General features: G+C 54.3%; 1 protein-coding gene across 3 annotated transcripts in view; it reads right to left on the reverse strand.

The window, feature by feature from the left end:
- ADAMTS2 (ADAM metallopeptidase with thrombospondin type 1 motif 2) overlaps positions 1-23,622 on the reverse strand; it is a 234,609-nt gene that overhangs the window by 160,775 nt on the left and 50,212 nt on the right. For 2 of the 3 annotated variants that reach the window (NM_014244.5, NM_021599.4), the window contains exon 3: positions 1,284-1,437. In NM_014244.5, coding sequence (NP_055059.2) covers positions 1,284-1,437 — 154 coding nt within the window. Of the gene's footprint in view, positions 1-1,283; positions 1,438-2,516; positions 2,585-23,622 lie in introns of those variants that run through there. The other variant, XM_047417895.1, reaches the window with a different exon arrangement.

Raw genomic sequence — 23,622 nt, forward strand, 5'->3', positions numbered from 1 at the left:
AGGCAGTACCCAGTGGCCCGGCTGTCTGCAGCATAGCAGACGCTGATTTGTCACCAAGGAACAAGGGGCCACCGGTTGCACTGATTGGCTCCAGAGTACATTGGGCTTCCTGATGGAACAATTCCTTTGCAAAGGTATCTGATGCCGTTTCATGAAATTAGAAGTATGCCTGCCAGGCTGTACCCAATTTTTCTGTCAAGCTAGGAAGTCAGACAGACCTACAGTAAATGAGGCGGGGCTGCTATGGAGTGACGGGAGTACCTTAGTAAATCACAGCACGGGGGCTGGCCCAGCCCAGGCCCCTGGAGCACTCGCTGTGAACGTGCAGGTGTGCCCGATCCTGGGCCCCAGACTCCAGACTCTCCTCACCCAGGGGTCCTGACCAGAGGCTGAGGGCTGAGCTCGCAGCTTCCCACTCTCCCAGCAAGAGCCAAGCACAGGCCAGGAGTCCCTGACCACACGGGGGACCCTGAGAACTATGGGCCTGCAGAACCACATCAGACACCAACCCTGGCTTCACCACAATCCAGGACCAGAGACTGGGGGATGCTGGGAGGTGTGGGCTGGCACAGTGAGGCCAGATCTGAGGCGACAGTCATGGACTGTCACCATGGCCGCCTGGCAGCTCCTTTCACGTTTCTGGGCCCAGGGCACACGTGGGTTCTGAGTTGAAAAAGACAGACGCCCATGAGTCTGTGCAGAGACTGCTGAGGCTGCTGGGAGCACCTCCAGAGTCCTTGTAGGGCACATGCCTCCAGGGATCCAGAAAGAGCATGCAGGGCCTTTCTCCCTGAGCAGCCAGGTGAGGGTTGGGACCTACCACAGGCACCCTCCCAGGGACCATGGCAGCACAGAGCAGGAGAGGCGCTGTCTGGGGCTCTGGAGGCCTCTTCACAGGCACAGACTCAGAGACGCAGGCACTGGACTCAGGCCTGGCCGGGGGCCCCCGCCCCGCTCCACGACACTTGCTTGCCTTTAGGCAACAGAAGATGGGCCCTTGGACAGCCTTCATAGTCCACCATGGAGGCCCCAGACATGAAGGCAGAGGTGTCTGGGCTGCTTGTCACCCACATGCACCCAGAACAGAGGCCCCAGCCCCAGCAGCCCTGCTACGCCCTGCCGTCAGCCAGGCAGCTGGCCCATTTCTGAGCCACTGAGACCGGGGCTCAGCCTCAGCAGCCAAGCTGGTCTGTGGAGAGCTGCCTGAGTCTCTGGGATGCTCCCCTGGGGACCAGGGCCTCAGAGGGCTCTCCACACAGCCTGCCCACCTGCAGTAGCCTCACCTGTGTCCAGGGCCTGTGGCCCCCCGAGAGGAGGGGACGTGGGTGGCCGGCGATACACCACATGCACACGGCCTTGCTCAGCCTCCTGCGCCGCCAGCCCCTTCTCCAAGGGTTCGATGAAGAACTCCTCCTCCTCCATCCGGATCAGACCAGCCTGCGGGACAAAGACAACAGGATCAGATTTCCAGCACACAAAAGACCAAGGAAGGGGAACAGCGAGGAGACCCCCTCAGGGAGTACCTCCCACCTGAAGACCCTGCCCAGCACCCCAGCTGGTGCTCAGCTTGAACCCTGGGCTGGCCGGAGGGTATGAACATGTGGTCCCAGAGGCCGCCCCCCGCCGCCCACCCTGTCTAGGAAAGGGGCCTCTGTCTGGGTCATCTCCACCCCTATACACCAACCCTGTCTGCTTTCAGAAAAGTTACTGTGTTTATAAAGTCAAAACCGTCCAGAGAAGCAGGGAGACATTCAAGGGCAGCTGTGGGCCTGTGCGTGTCCCCAGGAGGGCATCCACCAAAGTGCATCAATATGGGCCAAGTGCTGCCCCCACTCCCAGGAGCCCAGAGTCCAAGACAAAGGTCAAAACAGCCAGCCGGGGATTGAATCTGCCCACACACATGTTCCATCTGGGCCAAACAATATTTTTAAAGCTCTGAAGCTAACACTCAGAATGATGAGATTTCATGTCTTGAACATGGAATCCCAGCTTTCCTTGGAAACGCAGGCCCTGACCACAGCGGGTCTTGGATGGAACACATGCCCCTGCAACTGGCTCCAGTCCCTACTGCCCCCCAACTGTCTCTCCTGCTCTCTGTGTCAGCCACCAGCCCAGACTCTACAGGCAGCTGAACTGCTGCCCCTGACCCCCTAGGCCAGCCAGCACCCTCCCTGACTACAAACTCCTCGCTGGGTCCTCATTTCCGTTGGGACTCAGGCTGCTCTATATGCTGGCATTCAGGCTCTTGGCCTGCCCCACCCTCCCAGACCGCGGCTTGCACCACCCCATGCTTCTCACTGGGCTGGGTGCACCCTGCCGAGCCACCCAGCCCCTGAACCCCATGCTGCCAACTCAGGAATCCCCATTCTCCCACCCCACCACCCCATCCCCAGCTCGGCCATCTGGTAAACCTGTGTTCCCCCTTCGAGGCCTGATTCAGACCCCCTCACCTCTCCTGCCCTCCCCTGCCATCCAGCCTGCCCTCCCCTGCCATACCCTGCCCTCCCCTGCCATACCCTGCCATCCAGCCTGCTGGCACCATCAGGTCCACCCATCCCATGACAACTCCAGCTCCTACACTTTTATCTTCTGGTCCATTATCCATAAACCAAGGTCTCACACTGGAAGTGCACACTGTGTCCAGCCTTCAGAGTGTTTCCTTCAGATCACAAGCTTATGACCCATGCAGGGGATTTTAAAAGCTTGAATTTGTTGCCAAACTTAAGAAACAGGAGAGTTCACATAAACGACCAGATTTCCAGACTCTCTTGAAAATCAGAAAAGCTGGCATTTCCAGCACCCATCGACACTCCAGCTTAGCTGGCGCTGGCCGGGGTCCCCTGTCCAGTTAGGAGTGTGCCCTCTGGTGGGCAGCCCCCGGCACCTGCCATCTGGATGTGCGGAAACCACACCCCCCCCAAAGTAACCTCATGATGGCCTCTGCCATATCATCATCTTGGTTGTGGGGGGGCACGGTGGCGCACGGGCTGCCCCTCCTTCTCCCTGACCCCAGGTGCTCGGTGAGCCCCATCCTGTTGCTGGCTGGGAGCCTCTGCAGACCGAGATGCAGTCAGTGCCCCCCAGGGCCTGCTGGGCGGCTGCCCCTAGCCTCAAGTGTAGCGAGGGAGGCTGGAGATGCCTCCCGGCGCACTCAGCCTGGGCCCTCGGGAAGCTGATGTGCCAGGCAGGGGCTGGTGGAGGTGCAGGGCCTGGAGGAACACAGAGCCCAGCATCAGGCCTGGCTCCAGAATGAAGGATGCCTCCGGCAGGAGGTGACATCTACCCAAACCCACCCAATCCCTTTGTGCTGGCCAGGCAAAGAGTCAGAGAGAGGACCAGTGCTCCATATGGGGGAAACCGCACATGCCATGGCCGGGGAGGTGGACGGAGCACAGCTGGTGGGAAGAGCTGACCAGGTGGGTGGACAGGAGCATCAAGGGCACGGTGCCCGGTGGCCCATCACTCAGGGGGCTGGTGAGGGAGATTGTAGGCAGCCCAGGGCTTCTGGGGGGAGCCTTGATCTGATTCCAGTTCAGAAGCATGGTGGCTGCGGCAGGGGGAATGGGCTGCGGAACAAAAATGGGTCTGGGGTCCTGGGGAGAAGGTGTTACAGGCACCTGGGAGAGGGGTAATGGTCCAGACGGGAGCATGAGAGACAAGGACGAGTGGCAGGTATGAAGGAGGTGAGGAGCGAAATGGACAGGACGTGGTAGGGTAGAGCCGGCTGAGATGGGAGGGAGGAGGAAGCACCTGGTGGGCTTCCAGGTCTGTGGCTGAAGAACCGGCCCCCAAAGTTACCCAGGCCCCCATCCCTGGCAGCTGTGAGGGTAGTGGACATGGTGGAAAGAGACTCTGCGGGTGTGATCAGGTCAGCTCTGGGGCTGGCTGGGCCCTGAATGCAGTCCTTGCCCACTTCCTTATGCCGGGGAGTGGAGGGGGATTAGGCAGATGCGCAGAGGACGAGGCCATGGGCAGACAGGGAGGATGCCAGATGCCAGCTTTGGAGATTGGAGCGATGTGGCCTCAAGCCAAGGAATGCTGGCAGCCCCCAGGAGCTGGCAGAGGCCAGAAAGTGTCCTCCCCCAGAGTCTCCAGAGGGAGCGCAGCCCTGCCGATGCCTGGATTTGGGTCAGGTTATACCGACTTCGGACGTCCGGCCTCAGAACTGTGAGAGAACGAATTCCTGCTGTTTTAAGTGGTTCCTTACAGCAGCCGCAGAAAAGTAATTCAGGGTCCTGGTGGGTGGCCGGCAAAGTGGGTGCCATTCTCCGAGGGGCATGAGAAGAAGGGCAAGGGGCGCAGGACCCTCTGGGCTCAGGCATCCTGGGCTTCTGGGGAAGAGGCCTAGGAGGCAGTGGTAACCAGAGTTACCAGGGCAAGACCGAGGTCGGAGAAGGAGGTCAGCAGGGCTGTGGGAGGAGAGCGGAAGAGGGGGTGGGAACCCTGCAGGCCCCACGCTTCTGACTCATCCCTGGGTCTCAGGGCTCAACCAGGCCTGGCGAAGACTCAGCAGATGCCTGTGGAATGAGCGAACCGATGACCCCAAAGCTGCAGGCCACGTCCCCCAAGGGAGGCACCGAGCAGGCAGGCGGGAAGAACACAGCCAGGCCTGTCCACTGGCACAGGGGCAGTGTGTTTACCAGTGCAGGAGTTGGGAGGGTCCAGCACTGATGGTCCCGGTGCGTGGTGTGGAGAAGGCTGGTGCCTCAAATCCATCTTATGACTGAAACTCATTGGATGAAGTGCAGGAATTAACCCTGGGGGGCGGCAGCGGGCAAGCTGTCCTGGAGCGTGAAGTTCTGACTTCCTGGCACCCTTTCTATCTGGCCAGGTGACCTCAGGCAAGGTGTCAAGCTCCCCAAGCGTCCAGTGACTCGTCTGTACATGAGGCAGGTCATTTCCCGTGCACACTCACACAGGAGCACATGCAGCCTGGGAGACACTGAGAACCAGGCCACGCCTCCACCCAAGTGATTTCATCCAGCCAGCTTGCTTTCCAAATGAGGAAACCGAGGCCTAGATGGGCAGACAGGCTGCTGGGGACACACAGGTTCTAGGGATCAGAACTCACACCTACACGGAAAGGGCATCTCCCAGACAGGTCCCTGGGCCAGACTGGGCCGATTGAGCCAATTAGGGCAGGACACTGGGGCATGAGGACCCCTTATGGCAGCTCCATCTTCTGGGGGAACTTGCAGCCCAGGTCGGGAGCCATCGATGCCACAGGCCTGAGGCCCTGGGGTTATTCTGGAGGGACCTAGTGTGACAATGAGGCCAGGCTCAGCCTGGGGAAGGGCAGTACTCTCTGGCCGGAGTAACCCGGGGGACAGTTTGGGGTCTCCCTGACCAGCAGGGGTCAGGCTCCCCTCCCTGGCTGCCTCCCTGAGGACAATCACTGGGCTGAGCCAACAGCACTAGCTCCATCTGATGCTGCCCTGGGCCTTGCCTCCTGGAAGGGCACCCCTGCAGGCGACTCCTCGGAGGGCACAGGAGCACACTGGGGTCCATCTGAAGCAGGGCCTGGGCTCAGGCTTCCTCACACAGCCAGAAGCCTCCAAGCGGTGGCATTCTCCAACACAGACGTTCAACATGCTCCTCACAGCCCCGCCCGTCTCTGTTGACCACCGTGCGATGCGCACAACGCATGCTGGACGATGAACATGGTGGCACCTGCCCCGAGACCAAAGGCTGACACCCCGAGACCAAAGGCTGACCCCCCTGAGACCAAAGGCTGACACCCCCCGAGACCAAAGGCTGACCCCCCCCCCGAGACCAAAGGCTGACCCCCCGCGAGACCAAAGGCTGACCGCCCCCGAGACCAAAGGCTGACCCCCCCCCCCGAGACCAAAGGCTGACCCCCCACCCGAGACCAAAGGCTGACACCCCCCAGAGACCAAAGGCTGACCCCCCCGAGACCAAAGGCTGACCCCCCCGCGAAACCAAAGGCTGACCCCCCACCCGAGACCAAAGGCTGACACCCCCCAGAGACCAAAGGCTGACCCCCCCGAGACCAAAGGCTGACACCCCCCAGAGACCAAAGGCTGACACCCCCGAGACCAAAGGCTGACCCCCCCGCGAGACCAAAGGCTGAACCCCCCCGAGACCAAAGGCTGACACCCCCCGAGACCAAAGGCTGACCGCCCCCGAGACCAAAGGCTGACCCCCCCGCGAGACCAAAGGCTGACCCCCCCCGAGACCAAAGGCTGAACCCCCCGTGAGACCAAAGGCTGACCCCCCCTGAGACCAAAGGCTGACCCCCCTGCGAGACCAAAGGCTGACCCCCCCCCGAGACCAAAGGCTGACCCCCCCCGAGACCAACGGCTGACCCCCTCCAAGACCAAAGGCTGACCCCCCCCCGAGACCAAAGGCTGACCCCCCCCCCGAGACCAAAGGCTGACCCCCCACCCGAGACCAAAGGCTGACACCCCCCCGAGACCAAAGGCTGACCCCCCCGAGACCAAAGGCTGACCACCCCCGAGACAAAAGGCTGACCACCCCCGAGACCAAAGGCTGACCCCCCGCGAGACCAAAGGCTGACCCCCCCGAGACCAAAGGCTGACCCCCCCAAGACCATCAGCTGACGTCCTGCCAAGACCGCTGGCCAGAATAATGCTCGGGGCGGGGGGCACTTCACGGAAGAAGTGGAGATCATTTTATTCCCTGATTTTCAAACACTTCAGTATATGCATCCCAGGAATGATCTGTCTAAAACACACAGAAGAAAATTGACAGGAGAGCAAAGCACAAAATGTGAGCTATGTTTTGCTGCATTTTTTTCCGGGACTTTGATTTTCCTGCTGCCAGTGTCAAGTGTATCTGTTTTTACATGTAATTTTTATTAATTAGAATCAGTTTCCTCTCCCCACTCAATAAATATTAAAGAAACTCCAGAAGCACACTAGGCTGAAAAGCACTCAGTTGGGAGCCTGCTGGTGGCCTGTCTGTCCAACCCCACAGCTGTCCAGCCTGGGGTCTTACAGAAAGGTTGGTACCCCGACCTGGCTCTAAGTGTGAGTCCCACTCTGCTCTTGAAGTCTGTGGATGTCTGGCAAACCCAGCCAGGTTCTCCCCTGGGGGACAGAGAGAGGATCATGGGGAGGGCTCTGTCCCTGACCTTCAGGTGCCACCGCAGGGGCCCAGAGCCTGGTAGTACCCGGGTCATCAAGTCAAGTTGCCGGCATTCAGATCCTGGTGAGTTACACAACGCCTGCCCTGCCTCTTCCTTCTATAGAACCTGCTCCTTTGCAGTTGGATTGATGGTAAAGTAGTTACTAGAAATGGCAACTAGATGTTAAAAATTTATAAAGATCCAAAGGCTTAACAGCTCTCCTCTATTACTCTGAATTTTTAAGTATTCAACCACAGACAGCCTGGAAGTTAGGGGTTCACAGGAAACACAAGCATGCATCCTGTTTCCTTCTGCAGAGCACCCAGGCTGGCTGGTTCCCACTGCCCCTTCCCATGGAAGCCACAGCTGCAGCCATCAGCAGCCTCCCACCTGTGTATGACTGGGACCTGGTCTGTCACTCAACCTTGTCAACCTCCAGCATAAACACTGTCAGGTGTGTGCCAAGGTTGCAGTGGCAACAATCAAGCATAGAAGGCACAAAGCATAGGAAGCACACAGGTCCATGCACAGAGGGACCCAGACTTTGCCAAGGGACAAGGCTGCAAGTCCCTGTTGCCCTCAAACTCACCTCCCTCCGAAATACACACACAGCACGCACCTTGCCAAGAGTCCCCCAGATGCTGGCATCTGCTAAGATTCCCATTCCTGAAAGTATTCTAACTCCAAGATTCTTTCTCCCCATCTTCCTTTTGGTAATGAACCTGGGAGATCTGCTGGACAACGGGGCAATGGCCAGGCAGCCTCCCCTGCTGTGACAGCTGCCTGGTGGAATGACGGTCTCACAGGGAGAGCTGCACAGTGCCTGCAGTTCCCAGGGCGCCTCCTCTCAGAGCCTGCTCGGGCACTCTCTTGCCTCTCCCAGCTCCCCAGGGAGGTCTCTAACAACCTTGGGAGCTTTCAGGGAAGGGGGCTGGACCCCTCACTACTGAACAGTCCCAGGAGTGGGAAGTGTCATTGAGTGGGATTTGAGCCACTCCGTCCTCACCACTGGACAGTCCCAGGAGTGGGAAGTATCGAGTGGGATTTGAGCCACTCGGTCCTCACCACTGGGGGCTCCTTTACAGTTCAGCATCCCAGAGGATTTCACACACTGACTTTTCCACTTTTCCAAAAGGGACGCCAGCGGGCAGGAGCTGTCCATGGGGTTAGGAAACAGCTGTCCTCACCCGCATCTCCACCAGCTCCTCCTCTGTCTCATGGGATCCTCGCCAGGTGCCAGCCACTCCCGTCCTTCCTCTTGGAGAGCGACCCCTTGTCTAGGGCTCTGTCTTGGAGCTATGGCTGGAGCTGGGCCTTCCAGGGTTCTGCTGAGCACAGTGACCACAACAGAGTTGCCTCTGAGCTCCACAGAACCTGATGACTTTGCTTGGCCACTCTAACCTTCCCTGGACCTGGTTTCAGGCCCTACAGACCTTTACTCCAGAAAGTCTCTTTTTTGGCCTAAGCTGGCCGGAGCCAATTTCCAACAGGACCAAGGAGCCCCGACAGTCACATGCCCAGCGAGGCTCTAAGGAAAGCTAGACTCCACTTTGAAGGGCAGGGTGGGGGGCGAGGCAGGCAGGGAGAGTAAGCACTGGACGCTGAGCCAGGGGCCCTGGTTTCCAATGCGGTCATGGCCAGTCCTGCCCCCTTGCAGGCCCCCAGTTCCCTCATCTGCAAACTGAGGAGCTGGACTACGTAACCTATGAATTACTGCTTATCCTGTTTATTCATCACCCCAAAAAGAAACCCCGCACACGTTGGCAGGTACCGATCATCCTTCTAAAACTCTACTAGGACCAAGGAGAAAGAACCAAACCAAAAACCAGAAACCCACTCCTGTAAAATAAAGGCCAAGGCCGTCCCATGGCACGCAAGGCCTTCCATGGGGTCCCAGCAGCCGTCTGTCCCTGGGCGCACCCCCAGTGTCTTCCTCTCTCTCCGGGCTTCTATTTGCACCTCAAAGCCTACACCGCTGCCCTTCTCTCTTGTTATAGAGGTCAGTAAGTAGCAGAGAGCTGGTAAAGATCTGTCAGCACCAAACTGAGACTCCCCTCGACTCAACCAGAGAGTTTAAAATGCAACTGAAAAGGGAATCATTTTTCATTATAAAGTTCAATGCTTTTTTTCTTCTTTTTTTGAGACAGAGTCTCGCTCTGTCACCCAGGCTGGAGTGCAGTGGCGCAACCTCAGCTCACTGCAAACTCTGCCTCCCATTTTTAAGCGATTCTCCTGCCTCAGCCTCCCAAGTAACTGGGATTACTGGTACACACCACCACATCCAGCTAATTTTTGTATTTCTAGTAGAGATGGGGTTTCACCATGTTGGCCAGGCTGGTCTCAAACTCCTGACCTCAGGTGATCCACCTGCCTCGGCCTCACAAAGTGCTGGGATTACAGGCATAAGCCATGGCGCCCGGCCAGTTCAATGCTTTTTAATATATAACAGCTTTATGGTGCTGTGATTACCATACCATACATCTCAGCCATCTAAACTATATGCTGAAAGTGAACAATTCAACCATAACCACTATTGATTTTAGAACATTTTCATCACCCCAAAAAGAAACCCCGTACACATTGGCAGTCACTCCCCATGTTTTCCCCAACCTCTCCTCCCCAACCCAGCCCTGGGCAACCACTAATCTACATTCTGTCTCTATGAATTGGCCTATTCTGGACATTTCATATACGTGGAATCACATGCTATGTGGCCTTTTGTGACTGGCTTCCTTCACTTAGTATGTTTTCAAGGTTCATCCATGGTGTAGCATATAGCAGTATTTCATTCCTCTTTTATTGTCAAATAATACCCCATCACATGTATATACCACATTTTATTTATCCATTTGCCGGTTGATGGACATGTGGGTTGTTGGTTTTTGGCTCCTATGCATAATGCTGCTATGAACATCTGTGGACAAGTTTTTGTGTGGACATGTGTTTTCATTCCTCTCAAAGTGGAATTACTGGGTCATACAGTAACTGTGCCAGACTGTCCTCTACAGGGGCTGGACCATTCTCAGTGCCCCCAGCAGTGTGTGAGGGTTCAATTTCCCCTCATCCCCACCAATACTCATTATTCTTAGGCTCTTTGACTCTAGCTATCCAGCAGGTGTGAAGTGGTGTCCCATCATGCTTCGGCTTGCATTTCCCTGACAACTAATGATGCTAAGCATCTTTTCATGAGCTTATAGGTCATTTATTTAACTTTGGAGAAACATCCATTCAGATACTTTCCCTATTTTTAATAAGACCATTTTCTTTTTATTGACCTGTAAGAGCTCTTTATATATTCTAGACACAAATCCCTTATTAGATATACAATTTATGAATATTTTCTCTTGTTCTGTGGGCTGTCTTTTCAACTTTCTTATTAGTGTCCACTGAAGTCATGAAGGACTTTCTTGAAGTCCAGTTCACCTATTTTTTTCTTTTGTCCACTTGTGCTTCTGGTGTCATATCTAAGACTTTGCCTAATCCAAAGTAACAAAGATTTACTCCTACATTATTTAAGAGTTCTATAGTTTTAGCTCTTACATGTAGATCTATGATCCATCCATTTACAGTTAATATTTGTGTATGGTGTGAGGAAGGGGTCCAACTTCATTTTTCCATATGTGGATATCCAGGTGTGCCAACACCATTTGTTGAAAAGACCATTCTTTCCCCCACTGACTTGTCTTGGACCTTTGTCAAGAATCAATATGAGGATGTATTTCCAAACTCTCAGTTCTATTCTACCAATCTATATGTCTATCCTTCTGCCAACACCACACAGTCTTGATTACTACAGCTTTGTAGTAAGTCTTAGAATTACAAAGCATGAGCCCTTCCTCTGTTCTTCTCCTCAATAGCATTTTGGTTAGTCTGGATCCCTTGTATTTCTGTATGAATTTTAGGATCAGCTTGTCAATTTCTGCCACAAAGCTAGCTGGGATTTGATAGAATTAAATGCATTCTGGAGTCATGTTTGGTACCCATTAGTTCACCTCCTAGGCCAATGTTTAGGAAACATTGGCCTACAAAGAAACTCTGCATTAGAAACCAAGGGCTTGGTCAGGCATGGTGGCTCACACCCTGTAATCCCAGCACTTTGGGAGGCTGAGGCAGGCGGATCACGAGGTCAGGAGATTGAGACCATCCTGGCTAACACGGTAAAACCATGTCATCTTGAGATGGGAGCCCTAAGTCTATCAACTAACCAGGTGAGCCACTGTGAGCAACTCTGGGCCCTGGGAGAGGGTGCACAGAGGGATGGCTTCAACCCTGCTGCTAGAGAATGCCCTCGAGAGCGTCTGTCTCAGTTCTGCTTGGCATCCCTCCCCAGCACCCCCCACCTGCCACTTTACGCAGCCTGGACTTGACTTTAAAACTGAGACACCTGGCAAGTGGGGAAATCACAGGTCGAAATAGCGGAATTGCCCTCTGCATCTATGCTACAGGGATAATGAGGGTTACAAATCAGAAGACATTTAGCATATATTCTGGAAAAAAAAAGCTATGTAATATATAAACTATTCATAATTTAACTTTAATAAATGGGGGCAGGCAAAAAATTGCCAAACAAGCCCACAACAATCAGACAAAGAGTAGAGGAAGAAAAAAGGAATTACAGTTTAATTGCACTCGTTTCCTAATCTTCAGAATCTTCAGTTAGCATCAACAGTTACTGGTAAGTTTCTAAAATCAGTAGATACAAGCTGAAGAATTCTACTCAAAATTAGAAAAGTCACAACTAGTAAAACTAATGTATACCTTCCAAATGACTGAAGGCAGACCATATAGAAAATATGGTAGACTAGAAAAACAGCAAAAAAAAAAAAAAAAAAAAATCCAGAAAAACAGAAAACATAAATTAGATGACAGAAGTAAGAACAAATATATAACAATAAATGTAGGCTGGGCATGATGTGATCCCAGAACTCTGGGAGGCTGAGGCAGTTAGGAATTTGAGACCAGGCTGGCCAACATGGTGAAACCCCATCTGTCCTAAAAATACAAAATTAGCCAGACGTGGTGGTGCACACCTGTAATCCCAGCTACTCAGGAGGCTGAGGCGGGAGAATCACTTGAACCCAGGAGGCAGAGTTACAGTGAGCCGAGATCATGTCACTGCACTCCAGCCTGGGAGACAGAGACAGACCCTGACTCAAAAAAACCAAAACCTAAAACTAAACAAACAAAACAAAACAATAAATGGTCAGATGATTATTATTATTATTATTATTATTATTATTATTATTATTATTATTTTGGAGACTCCAGCCTGGGAGACAGAGAGATACCCTGTCTCAAAAAAACCCAAAATCCAACCGGGCGCAGTGGCTCACGTCCATAATCCCAGCACTTTGGGAGGACGAGGCGAATGGATCACAAGGCCAGGAGTTCAAGACCAGCCTGGCCAATATGGTGAAACCCCGTCTCTACTAAAAACACAAAAATTAGCCGGGCTTGGTGGTACGCGCCTGTGGTCCCAGCTGCTTGGGAGGCTGAGGCAGGAGAATTGCTTGAACCCAGGAGGCTGAGGTTGCAGTGAGCCGAGATTGCATCACTGCACTCCATTCTGGGCAACAGAGTGAGACTCCATCTCAAAAACAAACAAACAAACAAAAACAGACAACAAAAACAATAAATGGTCAGATTATTATTATTATTATTTTGGAGACAGTGTCTTGTTCTGTCACCCAGGCTGGAGTGGAGTACAGTGGCCTGAGCTCAGTTCACTGAGACCTCTGCCTCCCAGGTTCAAGCAATTCTCCTGCCTCAGCCTCCCAAGTAGCTGGGATTACAGGTGCACAACACCATGCCTGGCTAATTTTTGCATTTTTAGTAGAGACGGGGTTTCGCCATGTTGGCCAGGCTGGTCTCGAACTCCTGACCTCAGGTGATCCGCCCACCTCGGCCTCCCAAAGTGCTGGGATTACAGGTGTGAACCACCGTTCCCAGCCAGTCAGATTATTTCAATAACACTCTATGCCCTGCAAAATAATTTTACAAAATTTACAGATTTATGCTAGGCTAAAAGAGTTTCTCAGATTTTTTGACCACTTAAGGAACAGACACACCCATGACATATTGGTGACCGAAGAAGGCGGCAAGCCCAGCTGCAGCATGACCTCCTTACGTAAAATCATGTATATCTCTGTGCCAAACGTCAGCACAGTCTAATAATTAAGCATGTGGCCTCCGAGTCACTCTGCCTCGATTCAAATGTTTACTTCACCTCTGACTGAGTGGCCTCTCTGTGGACAGTGTCTGCAGGGTTGAATGGAGATAATAACAGGGTTTCCATGGCTGATGTGAGGGCTAAGCGAGATACTGCGTCTCTAGCACTGGGCACAGCACGTGATAAATCAGCCGACTGGCAGCACCATCACCATCATGATGATCATGGCATGACAGCTGTTAGGAAACGCGTAACAAAGGGTCAGCAGTGTTACGATCGGGGGTGAGTTTCACTTTTTATTAATATTTTCTGTATTTTTTTTGTTTTACATTTTTACAAAGGGCATATAGCAAAACAGACAATTCATGTGAAGACAGGAGAGACGGAAAGGGGGAGAGCACAGAGAGAAAGATAAGGGGGAAAATGGAATAAACAAGATGCCGACAAGAATGCCTCACGGGGCCAGCGCAGGGGCCAGCCAGGCGGCCTTCTGCTAAATCAAGCAACGCTTGAGTGGCTCCCTCGGGACCTGGCCTGTCCAGAATGTCCCACACTCAGCCCTCTGCAGCCAGCTCCCCCATCTCCATGGCTCCTGCACACACCAATGCCGGGGTAGCCTCCAGGAAACAGAGCTGGCCAGCCAGACCCAGCCAGGACACAGAGGTCAGTGGGTCAGACCCAGACTCTGGGACTGCAACAGGCCTGCCTATTTGTGACGAGAACTGACACTCGTCCCGGCCAGATTCTCTGGCTGACATTTCCCAGGTCTCGTTCAGCATGAAGCCCACGTCGGGGAACGTCCCCAGTCACAAATTAACATTCACATAAATAACAGGGCGCTCTCTACTAAAGAAGAAAAATGACTCGTGCTGCAGGAACATTTGCCAAACTATCAAAAAGCAAGATTTTTCTTTCTGAGCTTCCATGTCTCACCAGCTGGACCACAGCAGATTGTGGCCTTGAGACGTGTGGTGGAGGAGAGCTCATGGAATAAGGTCCAACTTCCCCATTCAAGATCCTGCCAACAGGCCGGGCACGGTGGCTCACGCCTATAATCCTAGCACTTTGGGAGGCCGAGGCAGGCGGATCACCTGAGGTCAGGAGTTTGAGACCATCCTGGGCAACATGGTGAAACCCTGTCTCTACCAAAATACAACAAATTAGCGGGACATGGTGGTGGGCGTCTGTAGTCCCAGCTACTCGGGAGGCTGAGGCATGAGAATCGCTTGAGCCCAGAAGGCGGAGGTTGCAATGAGCTAAGATCGCACCGCTGCACTCCAGCTTGGGCTACAGAGTGAGAGACTCTTGTCTCAAAAAAAAAAAAAAAAAAAAAAAGACCCTGTCGACAGGCCCTCCCCTGGGCTGGCACCTGCCCACACCAGCTGGAACCTAACACCTTTGCACAGCTGTTCCCTGCCAGCCTCCCTGCCTCCTTGGAGGTCTGCACACACCGCCCCTCCCTTCCTCCAACCAGCCCAGGAGACCAGCACGCCTGAGCACCAGCACTCCCAGAGACAGAGCCGGCACGGTGGGTCTGTCTGCTCAGGGGGCTGGGGTGGCAGGGGCACATGTCTGGGAGTTGCCAACATATGCTTCCTTACCAGATTCCCCAGGGGACCCACCCTGGAGAGCAACCAAACCCTGCAAGGCTGCACTCCAAGAACTGAGGGCCTGGGGACCCAGGACCGTCCCCCAGCATTCACAGCAGGCTCACCCACATCCACCAGGAGATGCTGCCCAGGTAGACTGCCAGCACCCCCTCCCACAAAAGGTCGGGGCCGGCGCCTTCCCTAGGTTGCTCGGGCAGCCATCACAGGGCAGCACAGGCCGGGGCTTGAATAGCAGAACCTATTCTCTCACAGTCCTGGAGGCTAGAGCTCTAAAATTAAGGTGTGGGCAGAGGCGGTTTCTCTCGAGGCCTCTCTCCTTGGCTTGTCGACAGCATCTTTCCCCTGTCCTCACATGGCCGTCCCCCTGTGTGTACTTCTGTCCTAATCGCTTCTTCTTAGGACACCAGTCATTCATGTTGAATCAGTGACTTCATTTTCAGTTAATTATCTCTTTAAAGACCCTGCCTCCAAATACAGCCAATATCCTGATCTACGGGAGTTTAGGACCTCAACAAAGGAACTGGGGGATCTAGGGAGGGCGTCACTCAGCCCATAACAGCCTCCAGGCGCCAAGTCCACACAGAATCGGAGCAGGCTGCTGGCAGGGTCCGGTGGCCAGAGCTGGGCGGGCTGTTCCTTGGGGAGCCACTCTGGACAGGCCGGAAGGTCAATGCCAGGATCACTCCCCAGGGGCCAGAAATCCAGCATGGAGGAAAGCTGCCACTCCAGGGAAGTAGGAGCCCGCCCAGGGCTGGCCACATGGGATGCCCATCTCACCCTTCCTTCTAAACTGGGCATTCTCACATGGGGACACGGGGCAGTGAGTGCAGGCGCAGGGAGACAAGAATGCTGCACAGCCGGTGGGTGGTGGACGGGCCTCAGGACCCCTCCGCCAGCAGCAGGCCACTCTCTCACGGTCCAGCAGGAGCCCTGCTCCAGAGCCCACGACTGGAGCCAGCTGAGGCTGGTGTCTCACATTCCTGCAGAGAGGCTGGCTAAGGCTCCCGTGTGGGGGCACTCCCCATGCCCACTGCACCCCAGAATTTTCTGGGCGATCCCAAGGCTGAGTCTACGCAGCTGTTGGAAGACGGGGTATGCAATTCTAGATGTGTGGCGTGTTTTGAACAGCATCCAATACCCTTTCTGTGGCAGCTCAGCCCGGAGAGCAGGTCCCCAGTCTCGAGGACCCAGGAGGCAGGGTCTGCTCCTTCCCACAGCGGGTGCTCCTCCAGGAGGGGCCAGGTGCTCAGAGGGAAACCAGTGCCCACCAAGGGCCCAGCTGCCTGGCTGGCTCCCAGCAGTGTGGGGAAGACACACTACCCGACGGACGTCCCCCTTAGAAGCAGGGGCAGACAGGAACTCCCATGGGGAGAGCACAGGCTGGGACGCAGCCCGCCCAACGCCAGTCCCCCCACTCCACTGTGCAACAAGGATCAGCCTTTCCTCTCTCAAAGCCTCGGTTCCCCCAGAGGGGGCTGCAGTTGAGAGTTGATGGTGAGACTCAGTGGGGCATGTCCTCCATGTCTGCTTGTGCAAAGCTGCCCAGATCAGGCAGTTTTCCCAGCCAGAGGACCCCCCCTTTCACTTTCCATCACAGGCTGTCATCTCCCCGGGTCCCTGGGCCACAGGCCCCTCTCAGGACCCCTCCGGCCTCATGCACACACAGAGCCTGTGCACTGCCTCACTCCTGCTTCCTTTGAATTGGGCTTCTTTTCCTGCTGTGATCTCTGGGGCCCACTGTGCTATCCAGGGCACGCTGACCGCCGACCGTCCTCTGCCCGCCTGCCCAGCTGCCACTCCCGGGCGGGCAGCCCTGCCAGGCCCGAGGCTGTCTGCTTCCCCTTCTGTCCAGAGTTCCCAAAACAAAAATCAGGCCATACCATCTGACGAAGGATCCTGTCTGGTTTATTTATGGGAAGAGCCAGGGCTCTGAGGGCCAGGTTGTCTGGGCTGTGGCCAGGCTGCTCTGCAGGCCTTCAGACACTGCCCAGCCCGTGTCCCCACCCACCCAGGGTGGCTCCGGGGGAGGGGCGGGGGCAGGGCCCCAGCACTGGTGAGCCCACACTGGTGACTCTGGGATGTGTATTTATTCTAGAGCCAGGACAGCAGCCGCCAGGGCCCTAGGCCCCTCTGTGGGTGGTTGGCCCACTGGAGAGCCGGAGCAGCGAGGCCAGCAATGACCAAAGGCGCCGTATCCAGAATGCAGGCAGGCTCAGGCGCACCTGCCCTCCCTGGATGCCACTACAGATTCGGGGAGACTGAACTCATGGGATCAAGTGCCCCACAGATCCTGGTCCTCACAAGGGACAAGGCCACCAGGTGTCACACTGGGAGACAGTGGCACCCCAGGGTATGAAAGGCCACACCAGGCTTATGTCCAGTAACCCTGCCTGCACAGCACAGCACGGCACGGCATCCATACCGCAGCACAGCCCCGCCCTCCGGCAGTGCCAAGCCCGGGATCTCAGGGCCCCCACCAGAAACCAGACAGGTGAGCAGGTGGCAGCTCCAGGCCAGGTGCTGACCTTGTGCATACCAGGCCTTCCCCGAGAGCAGGCTGCAGCCCCCCAGCTGGTTCTGACTGCCACAGGACTGCGCCCCTCCTGCAGGGCTCTGCTCACACCCACACTCCCTGCTCAGAGACGGCCTGTCCCACCGCCCCGTGTGAAATCACACCCAAGCACAGCGGAACGATGGAGGAGGCAGCTGGAAGGTGCTTTCGGTGGTCAAATCTGGGGCAATTTGAACACAATAATAAATGATAGTAATAGGTTAGAACCCATTGAATAAAATAAATATCCACAGATCAGTATTGGTAGAAACAAATAACTGAATAATAAATAAGTGGGAGGGGAAGGGCAGCTCTTTCTCACAGGGTAATTCAACTAAAAATGTAAAAGAAATGATGAGATAGAAAATCATGGTAGTAAACCCCATCGGCAACAGCACAGTCAGGACTGCGGCAGGTACGACTTATCCGTGGAGGCTACAATTAGTGAGCAAAAGGATAACAAGAAACAGAATGCTCACATCACGTCACAGCAGCTACCCACGGGAGATTTAATCATCGCAATGGGAAAAAAGAGTGAAAGAGTGGTTTGCTCATCAAGCCACTCATCTGAGACCTGAAAAAACCTCACAGTCACAGCCCTAGAGCTCCCGGGGCATCCAGTGGAATCCCAGTAGGTAACACCTTAGCCAAATGAAGAAGGGCATCACTGACAATAGGAGACAACTGGACATCCCAATGTGACAGTCCCAGCGTGGTGCCCTACGGAGGGCACAGTGCTTCTGTGACAGTCCTGCCAGAAACACGTAAGCTCAAGCCAGTACAAGGCACACCAGAAAAACCCATGGGGATGCACCGTCTACAAAACAGCTGACCAGTCCTCTTCAAAAACATCCAGGTCATGAAACCTCAGATGGGAGGAAACGGGAGAGACACAACAACTAAATGCCACGTGGGATCCTGAGGGGGAGCCTGAACCAGACAACCGACATGAGTCGGAAGACTGACAAAATTCAGTGCAGTCTGGAGTGCTACGGTTAGAATGTGACTGGTTTGTTCCCACCAAAACTCATCTTGACATTTGGTCCCCAGTGTGGCAGTGTTGGAAGGTGGGGCCTGGGGTGAGGTATCTGAATCATGGAGGCCGATCCCTCGTGAGTGGCTTGATACTGTTCTCAAGGTAGCAAGGGAATTCTTGCTCTGGAGAGGCTTGATTAGTTCCCGAGCCTGGGTTGTTATAAAAGCAGGACACTCCCTGGGTTTCCCTTCTTTGCACACATGGGCTTTCCCTTTGACCCTCTCCACCACGTTATGACACAGCACAAAAAGGCCTCACCAGAAGCCAGGGCCATGCTCTTGAACTTCCCAGCCTGCAGAACCATGAGCTAAATAAGCTTCTTTTCTTTATAAATTACCCAGTCTCAGGTATTCCATTATAGCAACACAAAATAGACTAAAACTAAGACACTAAGTACCAACGCTTAGTATCAACCTACAAAGTTCCTGGTTTCAGTCCTTGTTCTACGTTGCATACGGAGGAAGCTGGGTGAAGGGCACAGAGGAAATCTATGCTATTTTTGCAACTTTTCTTGCAATTTTTCCAAGACAGCATAGATCTAAAGTTATTTCAAAATTAAAACTTTAAACACATAAAAATAAAACTGGGCCCCAGCCTCCCTCAGTGCTCTCTGGCCGGTCCATTCTTCACATTGGCTGCCTTTCCCTGGAGTGGAGGCGCCCACTGCATCCCCAGTGTCCAGGGAGCAGGTCCTGTAGAAGGTGGTAGGTTCCAGGGATCGGGGAGCAAGTACAGAGGCCCTGAGAAGGAAGCAAGCCTGGCGTGTTCCAGGAACACCAGGGAGAACCGTGTAGCCGGAGCAATGCTCTTGTGCAGAGGGCCTATGCCTGAGCCACCCTGTGGGCCCTGCCGTTCCCTTCAGGGCACTCTCCAACCCTCTGCCCTGTGCATGGGGCCACGGATGCCCCAGGAGCTCTAGGGCTGTTGACTATGAGGTTGCTTCAGGTCTCAGTGAGTGGCTTGATGAGCGAGCCACCCTCACTGGCCAGGAGGGGACTTCCTTCACAGGTGTGAATGGGACTGAGCCACCAGCATGATGCTGACACGTGGGTTTTGAGGATTCCCACTCACATCAGACAGAATGAGTGCGGGGCTCTGGGATACAGCTGCCCAAGCCTCAAGCCTGAGTGGCACTTGTGGGCTCCTGCATCGGCTGTGGGGCCACCTCCGGGCTCTGGTGTTCAGGGGTGGGCAGTGGCAGCAGACATCCTTCACTCTGTGCCTCTGTCACTGGTGCCCAGGGCGGTGGCCCACACCCTCAAAGGTTCCGTGTCATTTCCGGGCAGTCTTCCAGGGCTGGCTGCATCCACCTGCTTGGAGTGCTTTCAGAGGGAAGCTGTTGCCCTGCAATGCCACGACCCTTCCCGTGTCCTCTCTTGCCTCCAAGCCGTGCTGGACATCATGCTCTCCTCCCAGGCTGGTCTGCAGAGGGATGGAATGCCTGTCACAACTGGGATCCCTCTTCTCTTGTCATTCTGCCTGCTGGTGGCAGAGTGTGGAAGGCGGGAGTGTGCCCACCATTAAACGAGGTTGAATTCTGGGAGTGCAGAAGTAACAGCCTCAGGACTGATGGGGAAGATGAGGCTGCAAGATGTGTGGTTCTTCCCTTCGCTATAAAGGTCCAAACGATATTTATTTATTTATTTATTTATTTAGAGACAGGATCTTACTGTGTCACCCACTGCAGTACAGTGGCTCAAACACAGCTCACTGCAGCCTGGACCCCCTGGGCTCAAGTGATCCTCCCAACTCAGCCTCCCAAGTAGCTGGGACCACAGACGTGTGCCACAACAGCTAGCTAATTTAAAAAAAAAAAAAAATTTGTAGAAATGAGGTCTTGCTATGTTGCCAGGGCTGATGTTGAACTCCTGGGCTCAAGTAATCCTACTGCCTTGGTCTCCCAAAATGCTGGGATTACAGATGTGAGCCACCACACCTGGCCCAAACATTAAATTTAACACGACCAGATGAGGACGTATGGCTCACATTTTCTTGCACACTCTGGGCAAGATCCACATTGGTGGTCATCATTAATGAAGCACGGTAACCACCTTCAAGGGAACAACGGAAGCCGGCATTCCCGGGGGCAGAGAGAAGCGGCGGAGTCAGGAGAAATGCCACAACCAGCACTAAATACATGGGGCTGGGGAATGCGGGGCAAGAAGATATACAGCATCTCCACACAAACAGGTTCCAAAGAGCCACACATTGTGAGCGGTAACAGCTTTGCTATTACCCCCCAGCTGTGGGAGATATAAATATGAAATTAGCTGGGACAGCACACTCGACCATAAAGAACAGGAAGAGATAGCTCCTGAGCCTGAGCAGTAACGAGGGTCTCTGCATGCACTGAGCAGACAGTGAGCAAATGTGTTCGTGCTTCTCCTCCCCGTCCCCTAAATCTTCCTTGATACATCTTGCTATTCCCCATGTGGGCTCATGAATCTTGTTATAAATTTTTTAATCAAATTGTCTATATAGACAGGAGTCCTGCAGGAAATATATGCCCAGGGCCCCATGTATCCTAGGGACAGCCAGCCATGCCTTTGGGAACAGCCTAGAAGGACTGTCAGGAAGGGGCCTGGGTGGGTGGGAGTCAGCTTGCCCAAGGTGACTCTCTCTCCTTGCAAGATACATCTGAGAGAGAAGCCCATTGTAAGCAGGGCCAATCCAAGCTCCCACCCCACCCTGGAGTGCAGACCACTGCCCAGACGGCTTCCTGAGGTCCTGGCTGGGGCCCTCCAAGGTACCCCATTTCCAGGCCTCCAGCCCCAGCCCCCCAATAGCCTGCCTTGAATTGTCTTCTGCTTAAGTGAGTTGAGGTCAGTTTTGCCATCCAAAGAGAAGCCCTCCTGTTTTCCTAGAGGTTGTCAGGAGCTACGCTGGCCGGTCCCCTGGGCTTGGGACATCCTCTGTTGTTGGGGGGAGAGGGTGGGAAGCGTCTTTCCTGCAGCCATGACCTCACCTTGGTGACAGCCACAGCTTCTCACTCACAGCACTGGTGTAAGTGCTAACCTGAAGCCGCTCCTCCTTGTCCACGGGGAAGACAGTCTGACCCCACTTTCCTCTGCTCCCCGAAAATAAGGAACGTTATTGGTGTTGCTTTGTCCTGACAGACTCACACGTCCTTAAAAAGTGCTAATCTTCACAAAAGAGGCAGCGGCCTGTGCCTTCCTTGAGGAAAGTCAGATTAATTAGCTGACTCCCACATGAGCAGCCTCTGATTCTTGCAGGCTTTGTTTATGGATCAGAAATCAGGCTTGAAGTGAAAACTGACATCTCAATGTGAAGAGTATTTTCCCTGCTAACTGCAGTGAGTCAGAGCCGTGCGCTGAGCTAGACAGATAGGGAACATGGCCTTCCCATGTGGACTGGAGTGTGCCAACGCCTCCGGGCCACAGCCCAGGACAAGCGTGGGACATCAGCCTCCCATTGCTAGGCCAGAACAGGCCAGTGCCCCATAGATCCCAGCCCAAGACAAGCACCGGAGTTGGCATTCCAGGGTAGGGTTTTGTTTGTTTGTTTTTCTCAAGATGGAGTCTTGCTCTGTCGCCTAGGCTGGAGTGCAGTGGCATGATCTGGGCTCACCACAACCTCCACCTCCTGGGTTCAAGTGATTCTCGTGTCTCAGCCTCCCGAGTAGCTGTGATTACAGGCACACGCCACCACACCCAGCTAAATTTTTTTTTTTTTTGTATTTTTTTAGTAGAATGGGGTTTCATCACATTGGCTAGGTGGTCTCGAACTCCTGACCCTGTGATCCGCCTGCCCTGGCTTCCCAAAATGCTGAGATTACAGGTGTGAGCCACCGCACCTGGCCAAGGTTTTTTTGTTTTTTTGTTTTTTTGTTTTAAGGTATTTGTGCATCTCAAACATTCCACTTAATGACTGGGAACTGGGGCCTGCAATCCCAGCACTTTTGGGAGGCCGAGGCAGGAAGACTGCTTGAGCCCAGGAGTTCCAGACCAGCATAGTGAGGCCTCATCTCTACAAATAATTTAAAAATTAGCTGGGTGTGGTGGTGCATGCCTGTGGTCCCAGCTACTTGGGAGGCTGAGGTGGGAGAATCACCTAAACCCTGAAGGTCCAAGCTGCAGTGAGCTAAGATGCTGCCACTGCACTCCAGCCTGGGTAACAGAAAAAGACACTTTCAAAAAGAAAAAATATGACTGGGAACCGGGAGAAAGATGTTGATGAAGGCACGCAGCCTACAGTCAGAGCTGACAGCCCAGAAACACGTCCAGCCAGCCAATTATTTTTAATGAATGCCCTTCCTTTGGTGACTCAATCCCATGAACAGGGAAGATGGGTGCATGGCTAGAAGCTCTGTCCAGGCTCCGAGGGCTGCCCAGCAGACCCACCCTAGGGGGTGCCAGGATCAACCCGACCCAGGGATGCTGAGCACCCATGCAAGTCTGACCCACCCACGTGGCCCAAGGAGGCAGCTTGTGGAGGTCCGGAATGGTGGTCTGGAGATTGGGCACCCACAGACTTGGGGAGTGGAAGGGCCACCCCAAGCCCTGCCCCCGCCCCCACTGCAGCTTCCCCGCAGGGCTGCACCCACATCCGCAGGGTGGCCCCTGCCCCGTGTGCCCAGCTTCCAAGGTGGCCTGCCCCTGATGCCAGAGAAACTTCCTGCTGGCCAAGCGGAGGGGCTTGCTTTCTAGGGTCAGCAGGAAATGTCAACATTTTCCCTGAAAAATCCTTCAATTCCCTCATTGAGTCTCCAGTAGACTTAGGTCATGTATACACTCAACAGGACAACTCTTTTCCACCCCAAATGCTGACAGCCTCTGAGGCAGTCTAAAGAAGGAAGGAAGAGTCACTGTGCAGACTCCTGGCATGGAGGCCCTCCTGTCGCTCTCAACTACTGCCTCTAGGCGAACGGGCCTGTGGGGAACTTGGCGGGTTCCCACTGGCCGCATGGATCATTGTTTCCACTTCAAAACCAGGCCTTGAGCACCCTACTGGAGGCTGCTGGGTTTGTCTGTCATCCTCAGAGCCTGAGAGCATCTGGCACCAGGCCTGGCTGAATAAATAGATTCTGGATTAGAAAGGAAACCTGGCTTTGAAAAGACACAGAGAAGAACCAGGTCCCTGCGTCCCTTCCTTCCAGGCTGATGTTCTGGGCTGGCGGGTCTCTGTTGG

The sequence above is a fragment of the Homo sapiens genome, chromosome 5 (genome assembly GCF_000001405.40).
Source record: "Homo sapiens chromosome 5, GRCh38.p14 Primary Assembly".
Lineage (NCBI taxonomy): Eukaryota > Metazoa > Chordata > Mammalia > Primates > Hominidae > Homo > Homo sapiens.